Source organism: Homo sapiens, chromosome 3, assembly GCF_000001405.40.
Source record: "Homo sapiens chromosome 3, GRCh38.p14 Primary Assembly".
NCBI lineage: Eukaryota > Metazoa > Chordata > Mammalia > Primates > Hominidae > Homo > Homo sapiens.
Genome location: NC_000003.12, coordinates 149,334,412 through 149,347,503, shown reverse-complemented (window position 1 = coordinate 149,347,503; position 13,092 = coordinate 149,334,412). Strand labels below are relative to the sequence as shown.

At 38.7% G+C, this 13,092-nt stretch overlaps 2 annotated features.

Annotated features, from left to right (window-relative positions):
• Positions 6,796-7,995: an enhancer, noted in NCBI's record as "MED14-independent group 3 enhancer chr3:149057296-149058495 (GRCh37/hg19 assembly coordinates)". NCBI's record gives its function as "activates an origin of replication core promoter dependent on BRD2, BRD4, P300/CBP and CDK7 cofactors, and independent of MED14, by STARR-seq in HCT116 cells {active_cell/tissue: HCT116}" and the evidence as "EXISTENCE:reporter gene assay evidence [ECO:0000049][PMID:35650434]".
• Positions 9,292-9,461: an enhancer, noted in NCBI's record as "experimental_65218 CRE fragment used in MPRA reporter constructs". NCBI's record gives its function as "activates a minimal promoter by MPRAs in K562 erythroleukemia cells, with activity observed for the introgressed 3:149055915 variant allele {active_cell/tissue: K562}" and the evidence as "EXISTENCE:reporter gene assay evidence [ECO:0000049][PMID:34662402]".

Below are 13,092 nucleotides of genomic sequence, written 5' to 3'. Positions count from 1 at the left end.
AAGTATGGGGGTTAGCCTGGACACTTTCCTCTATTCCAAACTCCACATTCAATTAGTCACCAAGTCCCATGGGCACAGCACTTTTTCCTTATAATTATGTTTCAAGAGAAATAGGAGAGTAACACTTGCATATGATTAAAAAGTATACAGCATGAATAGAGAGACAGAAAAATGGAACAGACTAGACATTTCCAAATAGACCCAAGTATTTACGTGTTAAAGAAAAATACAAATGGAGGCTACAGTTTAGATATACCCCAAGGCTAACCATCTTTAACCATATAACCAAAACTTTATTCATCTCGATTTTCTGAAATGCTAATTTCTAATCATAAATAAAACACAAAACATAACTTTATGTCCTTGCCAGTATAATTCAGTGAAATTAAGCCAATCAGCTATAGATAAATTAGCTTGAATAGCACTATTTGTCCTAAAAAGAATGTTAATGTATAATAGCCAATCACGAAAAAGGTCCAAATAATTTCTCTTTTATGCTTTATACACTGTGCTATAACTGCTGTAAGGTGAGCTTCTTACCATTATTACCTTCTTACATTTATTCAAAGTCTCCTGGTTGGAAAACTGTTCTTTTGTAAGTACAATACATTCTTTAAAATTTTCTAACTTGATCTGATTTTGTTTTTGACATATAAAAATTAGTAAATAACAACAATGATCACTAAAGAAAATAATAACTTTTAAAAATGGTGTAGTGATAACTACAATAGACATTTCAAAAAGATAAATTCAGATCCCTATCTCACAGCATATACCAGAATAAATTTCAGTGGATCAGCAATCTAAATGTAAAAAAAAAAAGGTAAAGCAAAAAAGTACTAGAAGAAAGCATGAATAAATTTTTATAACTGGATTTGGAGATAATTATTTTCAAAGCTATAAAATGAGATCCCAAAGCAATAATAGAAAATCTTGATAAATTTGACTACATGAAAATAAAGGGTTTTTTTTTTTTTTTGGCAAGGCATAAGACATCATAAGCAAAGTCAAAGACAAATAAATACTAGTAAAAATACTTGTAACATATTGCAAAGGACTAATCTCTTTAATATATAAAGAGTGGCTAAAAATCAAAAAGAATAAAATTTAAAAACCTGATGGAAAAATTGACACAATCGTAAACAGTTCATAGAAAGAGATAAATAAATGGCCCTTAACCATATAAAAAGATGTTCAACTTTACTGATAATAAGAAAAATGTAAATTAAAAGTACATAGAGATATAATTTCTTATTTATTAGACTGGCAATAATTCAAACACTTGAGAACACACTTCGTTGGTTGAGGCTGGGGGGATCCAAGCACTGTCATACAATGCTGGTGGAAATGCAGAATGATACAACCCCTGATGGAGGAAACTGGGAAATACCTAACAATTATGATTATGTTATTTACCTTTCCACCCAGAAAATGCACTTCTGGGAAACTACCTTGAAGGTACATCTCCACAAATATGAAAGAACACGCATACAAAGTTTTTCATCACAATATCATTTATAACAGTAAAATACTGGAAACAACCCAAGCTGCCACTAATAAATTAAACTGTGGCACACCTACATGAGGGAGTACTATGCAGACATAATAACAATAACAACAATTTTTTTTTTTTTTTTTTGAGACAGAGTTTCACTCTATTGCCCAGGCTGGAGTGCAGTGGCGCAATCTCGGCTCACTGCAACCTCCGCCTCCAGGGTTCAAGCCATTCTCCTGCCTCAGCCTCCCAAGCAGCTGGGATTACAGGCGCATGCCACCACATCCGGCTAATTTTTGTATTTTAGAAGAGACGGGATTTCACCATGTTGGCCAGGCTGGTCTTGAACTCCTGACCTCAAGTAATCCACCTGCCTTGGCCTCCCAAAGTGCTGGGATTACAGGCATGAGCCACCACACCTGGCCAACAACAAGATTTCTATAAACTAATATGCAGTGACTTCTAGGAAATGGTATTAAGTGAAAAAAAAAGAGAACATATATAGGACACTACCGTGTGGAAAATAAGGAGAAATGTGTGTGTGTGTTGTGTGTGTGTGTGTGTGTGTGTGTGATTTTGCAAAAAAAAAAAAAAAAAAAAAAAGAAACAAACAAAAGGGATAAAACAGAGACTAATGAAAATATCTACTTATGGAGGAGGGTGGGAACAGAATGGAAGCAAAGGATGGGAGTGGCACTTCTTTAAATACACCTTTTTATATTGTTCTGACTGTCGAACCAAGTAAAAGAGATTCATCTAATTAAAAGATTTTAAAAAGCAAACCCTAAAGGAGAATATAAAAGAAAACAAATTAATGCCTATATCAAATTATTATCAAGATTTCTTTGCAAGACCCTTTTGTCCTTAGAACACATCTTACTAAGAACACACAGAGTACGGTTTTCAAAGTTACTTGAGAGCTGGACATGGTGGCTCATGCCTGTAGTCCCAGCTACTCAGGAGGCTGAGAAGGGAGGATTACTCGAGACCAGGAATTTGAGACCAGCCTGGGCAACATAATGAGATTCCATTTTTAATATCTGAAAAGTAAAACTAAACCCAAAGGTTACTTGAATTACTCTTTTCCATACCAAACACAATACCCTGATGATACATGCTTAGTGTCTTTATAGTCTAAAGAAAAAAAAAAAGGGACCACAAGAAATCTAAACTTTACTTCATAGATGTATAATTTATAGTTATATGGGTATTCTAAAGCTATTTTATGTATATTGTAGAATTTTAAAATATGCTAATTCAATAAGGAATCAACATTTTCCATTTTCAATGTGGTCAAGCAGAAGAATGTTCTTGGTCTTAGAAGGTGCTTATGAAGTTTTTTTCAGTGAAGTTTCATGATGTCTCCAACTTTCAAATGGTTCAGAAAGAAATTATGTGAGAAAGATAAAGAGGATAAAAAATGAGCAATTGATGAATCTAGTTGAAAGATAAACAGTGATCATTGTATTCCTTCAGTTTTTCTAAGTTCAAAATTTTTAGGAGAAACATTTTAGAATAAAGTACTATATTTACTCTTTTGGAATTTTTAAAAACATGTGTTTTTCTCTTTAACTCTAATCAGGAACACATCATTTATATCGGTAAAATGAGCTAGATTATGCTTCAGTAAGCAGCAGCATCAAAATAGCAAGGGCTTAGAAAATCAGAGGTTTACTTCTTTCTCATGTGATATGCCCATTACAGTCAATATAGAAAGTCTGTTCATCATACTACAATTGTAGAGTCATCTCTAACATTGCCATTCTCCATGCAAGACAAAAAAACCAGCCATGGAGAGTCTCTCGCAATTAAAATGCTTGACTGGAAATGACAACATACAGCTCATTAATCACATGACCCAATTCACCCCTAGGGGGAGTCAATGATTTGGAGATATCTGATGAATAGTGTTAATGACTATCACTCCATTCATTTGTTGTGTTTTATGTCGCAGTAAACCCTGATAGATACAGTAAATTAGTACAGTGTAGTGGTCAAGAGCACAGATTCTGCAGCCAGATTATCATAGTTATAGCTCAGCCGCTTGCTAGCGAAGCTTTGGCAAGTTATTTCACCTCTTTGTGCCTCGATTTCTTCCTGCGTAAAAATTAGGTCTAATAGTCGTAACTCACAAAGAAGATTTGGTAAGTTAATATAGCAAAAGCATTTAACAATGGCTGTCATTTACTATCAGCAGCATCATTATTATTCTGAAGTATGAAACTCATACTTGATGCAGTAAGGAAATTTCTCAATGTTTTTCCCACAAATCAAGCAGTACAAAGATTTACAGTGAAAAGTAAGTTTCTGTCTCACATCTGAGCCTCCTCATCCAGTTTTTCTCCCTAGATACGACTGTTACCAGCTGTGGCATTTATGAACCTATTGCCTTTCTGTGCCAAATGCACCCTTCCTTTCTCTGCTTGAGATACTGAAACATCTTTCCTTTGCCAGCTGACACAGTGTTAAGTTTTGCCAGTAGAAGACCTGGAGGGACTCTGGAAGAAAAAGGGGATTATCTTCCTTCCTGATTCTTGTAGACTTTCTGCTCTTGCTTCTGTGGTGCTGGGCTGGTATGTGAGCGACGCAGTGATGGAGCTCACGCCAACAAGTTTCATGGGTGCCCCAGCTGGTTTCCCTGTGGCCAGTTCCTCAATGGTCCTGCAGCAGCATCCTGGAAGCTTTCCAGTGTGTCCCCACCATGGCCCAACCAGTTTCCCACAAGTTCAACAGCACTCCCCATGGGCAGTTTCCCCATGAATTTTGTCAGCACCCCTCAGCCATTGATTTCTTGCCTGCCAGCCTCAGCCTGCTGGTTTCCCACTGGGGGAATTTCCACCTTGCCAGCCCTGGCTTATGACTCCCAACCTGTCAACTGTGGATCAGCTCTGACCTGGAGCAATCCAGCAAAATGCACACCCAGAGGGCTGCACCCTCTCCCAGGAAGTCTGGATCCAACCTTGAGGGGCACCCCTTCCAAGCTCATTTCTTCCTCGGGTACTCTTTGTCAGCCCAAAGGTATTCTTCAGAGTTCTCTTAGTGTTCCTCTTTAGTAATTCCCTGTAAATAATCATTCTTCATATTAAACCTTCTGTATTCAAATTACTTGTGGTTTCTGTCCCCTGAATGGCTCCTGACTAATGCAGCAGCTTCCTGTTGTAGTCTTCCAGAGATCTTTTATGCTTATGCAAGTGTATGTGTGTATACACATGCTTTTGTTATGTAATGGGAACACTTTATATACAGTCTTTTTCTTTTTTTTGAAAATAGAGTCTCTTTTTGTCATTATAACCTCGAACTCCTGGGCTCAAGCCATCCTCTTGCCTCAGTCTTCTGAGTAGCTGGGACTACAGGTGTGTGCCACCATGGACAGCTAATTTTTAAATCTTTTGTAGAGTCAGGGTCTGGTTATGTTGCCCAGGCTGGTCTCAAACTTTTGGACTCAAGTGATCCTCCCGCTTTGGTCTCCCAAAGTGCTAGGATTACAGGTGTCAGCCACTGTGCCCAGTCACATGTTTGTTTGTTTGTTTTTAAACTTAGCCATCATTGCATATCAGCAAAAATATATTTATCTCATTTTTAACAATCGTATAGTAATTCATTGCATAAATAATTCCATAATCTATTTCACCAGTTTTCTATGGATGGAGAGATAGATTTCCAGTCCTTTCTTTCCACAGTAGAATTCTTATTTGATAGGTTTGTATGCCCATGTGCAAACATATCTTATCTGAAAAATTATTCCTGGAAAAGATTCTACTCTTAAATTATCTCCGCGTTCAGTGCCACCACCATATTATAGGTGTTCCTCATTTATAAAAGATGGATGTCTAGTATTTTTTATTGATTAGAATTAAGAAATCATTTTTATACATTTTAATTGTTTAAAGAACATATAAAATCAATGAAAAATATATCCCAAGGAAGTGCTTCGAGACAGGCATGCCCATGCCTATATAGACACAGAGAAACTTAACTCTGTGTGATCCTAGAACACAAATTTTTTATTGAGAATCCTTTACAGTTTTTAAAGTTATACACATTTAAAGTTAATAATATTTGTGCCAAATTAGCCTCTGCCTCCATTCAAGTTGCTATAATGAAATATTTTAAACCCACTAATTTACAAACAACAAAAATTTATTTCTCACAATTCTAGAGTCTGAGCATGTAACTGAGTGTCTACTAGGGTATTCTTTTGCAACTACTTTTTACAAAAATTTCAGGAAAGTGGAAAAACTAGTACAATGAACATTCAGATTTAAGTCCAACAATTGTTAATATTTTGTCACATTTGCTTCATTTATCTATCTACCATTCTTCTCCTCCTCTTCCTCCTCCTTCTCCTTATTCTTTTGCTAAACCATTTCAGGGAGGAAGACATATGCATCTCCAAAAATTTAGAGCAACTCCTTCATAACACCATCATTACATCCAAGTTAATAACAACCTTCTAATATTGTCTAATACGGTCTACATTCATACATTCGTATTTTTCCAATCATCCCCAAAATGTGTCTCACCATGTTTTGCCAAACCAATATCCAATCAAGCTTCACACTGCATTTATCTACCAGTGAATATCTAGCTTTTTTTTTTTTGTAACAGGATCTCACTCTGTCACCCTGGTTGAAATACAGTGGCACAATCACGGCTCACTGCAGCCTCATTCTCCCAGGCTCAAGCGATCTTCTCACCTCAGCCTCCCAAATAGTTGGGACTACAGACATGTGCCACCATGCCTGGCTAATTTTTAAAAAATTTTATGCAGAGACGAGGTCTTGCTATGTTGTTCAGGCTGGTCTCTAACTCCTGGGCTCAAGTGATCCTCCTGCCTCAGTCTCCTGAAGTGTTGAGATTACAGGAATGAGCCACCACACCTGGCAACATTTAGCTTTGATTGAGGCTCAGTTTACCTAGATACTTGCATCTTAACCTTGAAGACTCAGTTTTGTCCTCCAGACTTCCAAGAAATCTCACTTGAACTCCAGCTCCATTCAAGGTTCCTGTGTCTTTCAAAAAGCCTATGGTTAAATCTACTGGATATTCAACATTTTGTATTACGAATTTGTTGTTTAACTTTTTTATTTCCTCAACTAGACTCTGAGCATTTTGAAGGAATGGGTGTTCTTTGCCTCAGTCATCATGTGTCATCATGTAAATGTTCAATACACGTTTTAAGAATAAATGACTGAATACAGTTCCTTCCTCCCCTACTATGAAGAGCTTGAATAAATAAATTAATTCTAGGAGGCTGGGAGCCAGTCAGAAGGGAGTAAAGGGAGGTTCAACAATGGTCTGAGAGGACATTTCAAATACAGAAAGCTGCTTTGGGGAACTTTGAATAGAAACAGGAATACTCTTCTCCCTGTCTCAGTAGGGAAAGAGCTTAATGTTTATCATTAGTTAGAGATAAACCTGGAATTTATTGGCACTATGGACATTTTGGCCAGATAATTCTAGAGAAAGGATTATAAACACAACAGTCAGGAAAACTGCATCAAAACAGCACACTTCTGTTTACACAGCTGCCCTGCTGCTGCTTGTCTAATGTGTTTTTAAGCAAACATTCATTCCCAGTGGGTCCCTAAATTGGACCCAGACCAGTGCTTTATGCCCATGCTCCATGGAAGAAATCACAGTTTATCTACTTTAAACTCTCAAGGTGAAATTTCTCCCTGAATATTAGCCTTTTCTGCTGTTAAAAAGTCATATTCATGGACAATTTCTCTTTTGGATAAACTTTTTTTCAGATATTTCCTTCTTCCCCACTTCCCGTCACCTGTGGGGCTAATTCCAGGATCTTATATTAACTGATTTCAAAGTGAAGTGACTCAGAGACTGCATACCACGACTATTTTAGGTGGAGTCTTTCCTCCTGAGTCACCCTGTCCCCTGGTAGCAGGCATCCTGCGGATTTCCTCCCCTCTGCTGTGGAGAACAGGAAGCCAAGGCCAGAAGCAGCCAACAAGCACGGCATCCCAGTGGCTCCTCCCAGTTACTGGAGGACCAGCAAGAAAATCCTGATTTAGTAAGAATTCTTTGGCAAAAAAATTTGAGAGTTTACCGGAGGCAAATGGCTTCAAGAATGTTATTTATGAGCAAACATATTTTTTTCCAGAGGCAGGTTAAAAGTGTTTTCTTAGAGATGAAATTAAGTAAAATGTTGAGTTATCTGGGGAGACTTCATTAGCTGTTTTCACTAATAGGGTAACCAAAGACAAATAAATTACTCAACTCCCTTTTCAACAATTTTATCAAGTTTTCCAGCCAGGAATATCCTCTTCATTCACTTCTGTCATTCTTCTGGAACCATCTTCCAAATAACAATTGATCATGTACTTCCTCACCAAGTCTTCATAACAACCTGTGACATGATACCGTCAGTAGAGACATCATCGTTTGAGGCTGGACAAAGACTAGGGAATACTAGCCATGCATGTTGTTCTTCTCTGACCCCATCTCCACTGCAGACATCACTAATCTATCTAGCTAATCTGTATATCTCTCCCACCGAAACCAGTGTGCCTTCAAAATAGCACTGTAGGAAGCTACTACCAAGGAATTAGAACCTCCAAATTTGAAACCAATTTACAATGAAGAAGAGAGGGGTAATGCACAACAATGTTATCAGGCAAGGGTGAACATGGTGGAATAGCATAAAGAATGTGAAAGTCAGACTTAACTTCTAGTTTCTGAGCAAGTTTTTAAATTTCTTTTGTAGAAAAATCCATGTTCTACCCAAAAGACACACGTATGCTTATCACAGCACCATTCACAATAGCAAAGACATACAATCAACCTAGGTGCCCATCAGTGGTAGATAGGATAAAGAAAGTGTGGTAGATATACACCATGGAATACTAGGCAGCCATAAAAAGGAATGAAATCATGTTGTTTGTGGCAACATGGATGCATCTGGAGGCCATTATTCTAAGTGAATTAATGCAGGAACAGAAAACCAAATGCCTCATGTTCTCACTTATAAGTGGAAACTAAGTATTAGGCACTCATGGACATAAAGATAGCAATAATAGACACTGGGGACCACCAGAGTGAAGAAGGAGGAAAGGATGGACTTTAAAACTACCTATTGAGTACTATACTCACTACCTGGGTGATGGGTTTGGGGCCTAATGGTCCAAAACTTCAGCATCCTGCAACATACCCATGTAAAAAACCTGCACATGTACCTTCTGAATCTAAAATAAAAGTCAAAATTGTTTTTTAAATAACAATAAAGTAAAAAGGACGGTTTTCTTCTTACATCCATTTTTTTTATACATGCAAAATAGGGTTAATAATGCCTTTACCTTAGTGTTATTGTAAGAATTCATTTTTCGGCTTTTTGTTTTTAATGCATGTGAAAACTTCTAGCACAGCGCCTCCACATAGAAGATACTCAATAGATGTCAATTTATCGTAGTTAATTGGAAGGAGACCCTGACTGAGAGTGACAGCTCACTTCACTGACACTGAAGATTCCTGGGAGCCACAGCACTTTTACAAAGCAGACAATGCTCAATGATTCTGCTCCCCACAAACATTAACAAAATGTAATCTTAGTCACTGCTCTCCAAAGAGCAAAATATTGACAATAAAAAGTTTTTTTTAAAGTCAAATCTCAATTAAGTTAAACCTCCTTAGAACCTTGCAAGTATGTCTAGTAGAACACAGCTACTTCTGGGTTTCCTGGTAGCCAATGACCCCCTTCAGCGATTATTCTGCTCCCACCCTTTCTTAATTCTCGTTTCAGTGCCTGTTAGAACCTCTATGAGAGAAGGTTTCACATCGAGGAAAACGAAGAGCCAAATCAAACATTTTCATTTTTTTTTAAATTCTGCTTAAAAATCACTGGGAAGGGGAGTGGTGACTATTGGATTAAGAAACTGTAAATTTCAATGCTAGATGATATTTCCATCTCCCACCTGCAGTTCAGTCCCCCTCAAGGTTACTTTCTTTTTTTAAAAATTTATTAAGTAATTAGTTTATTTTTTATTATTATACTTTCAGTTCTAGGGTACATGTGCACAACGTGCAGGTTTGTTACATATGTATACATGTGCCATGTTGGTGTGCCGCACCCATTAACTCGTCATTTACATTAGGTATATCTCCTAATGCTATCCCTCCCCCTGTCCCCCACCCCACGACAGGCCCTGGTGTGTGATGTTCCCCTTCCTGTGTCCAAGTGTTCTCATTGTTCAGTTCCCACCTATGAGTGAGAACATGCAGTGTTTGGTTTTCTGTCCTTGCTATAGTTTGCTGAGAATTATGGTTTCCAGCTTCATCCATGTCCTCACAAAGGACATGAACTCATCCTTTTTTATGGCTGCATAGTATTCCATGGTGTATATGTGCCACATTTTCTTAATCCAGTCTACCATTGATGGGCATTTGGGTTGGTTCCAAGTCTGCTATTGTGAATAGTGCCACAATAAACATACATGTGCATGTGTCTTTATAGCAGCATGATTTATAATCCTTTGGGCATATACTCAGTAATGGGATGGATGGGTCAAATGGTATTTCTAGTTCTAAATCCTCCCTCAAGCTTATTTTCTTTCATTCCTTGAAGAGTCTAGCACCTGGCTTTCTAAATGTAGTCATTCTCTCCCAAACTGACATTGTCTAATTTTTTATTTTAGTATTCATTATAAATGATAATTCCAATACACTTCCCTTTCCATTCCTTTTCACCAGTCATCTTGTCCTCCACCTCCCTACACTACTCACTCCTAGGATCACAACTTGTGTCAGTCTGCTAGGACTGACATAACAAAACACCACAGACTGGGTGACTTGAACAAAAGACATTTATTTTCTCACAGTTCTGGAGGCCAGAATTCCAAGGTCAAAGCAGATTTGTAAGTTATGTGCCAAATCTCAAAGCAGATTTGTAAATTATGTGCCAAATCTGTGTTGGCAGATTGGTTTCTCCTGGGGCCTTTCTCTCTTTGGCTAGCAGATAGCCACTTCTCACTGTGTCCTCACACAGTCTTTTCTCTTTGCACCCCTGGAATCTCTTTGTGTGTCCAAATTCCCTCTTTTTATAATCTGATTGGATTATCCCCACCATGCTGTCCTCATTTTAACTTCATCATCACTTTAAAGGCCCTATCCAAATACAGTCACGTTTGAGATTATGGGGGGTTAGAACTTCAACATGTGCATTTAGGAGAGACATGATCAGCCCATAACACACCTCCAGACTTTTTCTTCGCCTATTCCTGAAACATCTCTAAAATCTCAAATTCCAGCATCACACTTCTCAATCACTACTTCCTCTCTTTCTAGCTCACTCTGTGTGTTACCTAAAACCAGTAATTTTTCAGCCACACTGGGACACACAATTTACAAATCCAGTGCCTCTTTTACTATTTCTCACACTCCCTCACGTCCTTACTTCCCTCCTTACTCAGCTTAAGTTCCACAGTCCATCATTATAACCATTCACTTGCATACATTCTTGAATCCTTTGCCCATCCCTCTCTTCATGGTATCTGCCTGGCAAAGTCCCAATCCTGGTTGACTCCAGCTTTCTTCCTACTTGCTGGCTACACCTCTGCCACTGAACCTTACTAGGAAAAATACCCAAGTCTCCTGTCCAGTCTCACTATCCATTCACGGTCACAGACTCAAGTGGTCCCTCAGCACCTGCCACATTTCTCTAGTCTGTTCATTCTCCCACTTTCCAAGCCAACTGTTTGAACTTCTCCTCTCTTCCTTTAAACCTTTAACACCCTCTCCCCATCCTCATTCTCAGCTGATAAAATTGCCTCCTGTTTCCCTGAGAAAACAGAAGTATAATAATCAGAAGTTCCCGCTAACCACCTCCAAGCCCATTGCTATGTTCTCCTTCTGTTCTGTTGCTGACACTGACCTGCCCTGCTGCTATCTAAGGTAAGCTCCTCCATCTGTTCACACACTCCCACCCTTTCTCACCTACTCAAGGAGCCTGTGCCAGCAATCCTCTCCTTTATCTCCTTTATGGTAAATACCTACCTACCCTCCCTCATACCCCTTCCCACAACAGTATACAAATATGCTACCATTTTTTCCATTAATTTTTGTCCCTTGACTTCTACTTTTCCTCTAGCTGCTGCCCCATTTCTCTGCCCTCCTTTACAGCAAAACTCTCCAAAAGAGTTACCTCATCTATTTCCAATTTCTCTCCTCCCATTCTCTCATGAATCCACTGCAGATGGACTCTCATCTCATCTCTAACTCACCAAGAAAGCTCCTCTTATGAAGGCCACCAGTGACCTCCACGTTGCTCAACCCAATAGCCGATTCTCAGTTCTTTCGTATGATGTGCCCTTTGGCAGCATTTAACTTTGTTGATCACGCCTTCTTCTTCTTAGAAAGTCACCTTTGAGAATAAGCTCCTGATCTTCATTTCTGGCTCACTGGCCATTTCTCAGTATCCTTTCTGCCTTCCTCTCATGTCCCTAAACTCAGTCCTGGGCTGCCCAGGATTTAGTCCTTGGGTCTCTTTTCTATCAACATGCATTTCCTTAGTGTCTCATGGGTTTAAATACCATTTATATGCTGACAACTGTCACATTTATATGTCACCCAGACCTCTTCCTTGAACTTCATATTTGTATATCCAGCTGCCTAGTTGACATCTCCACTTGGATTTCTAAAAGGTATTTCAAAACTTAGCACATTCGAAACTGACCATATCATTCCTCTTCTCCCAACCCTGCTCATTCAGCTGACTTGCTCATTTCTGTTAATGACAATTTTATTCTCCCAGTTTCTCGGGCCCAAATGATGTCGTCTTTGACTTCTCTCTTTCTCTTATACCCACATCCAATCTGCCACCAATCCTGTTGGCACAAGCTTCAAAATATATCCCAAATCCAGCTTCCTTTTTTTTTTCTTTTATTATTATACTTTAAGTTTTAGGGTACATGTGCACATTGTGCAGGTTAGTTACATATGTATACATGCGCCACGCTGGTGCTCTGCACCCACTAACTCGTCATCTAGCATTAGGTGTATCTCCCAATGCTATCCCTCCCCGCTCCCCCCACCCCACAACAGTCCCCAGAGTGTGATGTTCCCCTTCCTGTGTCCATGTGATCTCATTGTTCAATTCCCACCTATGAGTGAGAATATGCGGTGTTTGGTATCCAGCTTCCTTTTACCACCTCTGCTGCTACTACCATCATGATCCGAGTCATCATTATCTCTTACCTGGATGGTGGAAATGGCTTCAGAACTCATCTCTATCTCCTCCACACCCTTTACCACCTATTTACAACACAGCAGCCAGAGTGAACCTTTTAAAACATCAAGCACAGTGCCTGCCACATAAGAGATGCTCAATGAATGCTCAACCAACAATGTTATTCTCTTCCCAATCATCCCAGGAACTCTAGTAAATATGATTTTATGCTGCTTCTATGTGACTGGAAAAAACGTCTAATGCCCAGATTTTTTGATGCACTTAGATCAAAAGCACTAGAGGGAAAAAAAACCATATCCACAAGGGGGTGCCAAGAAACCTCTTTGGAACCTGGACTGCTAGTTTCTTTCTTTCTTTCTTTCTTTCTTTCTTTCTTTCTTTTTTTTTTTGAAACAGAGTC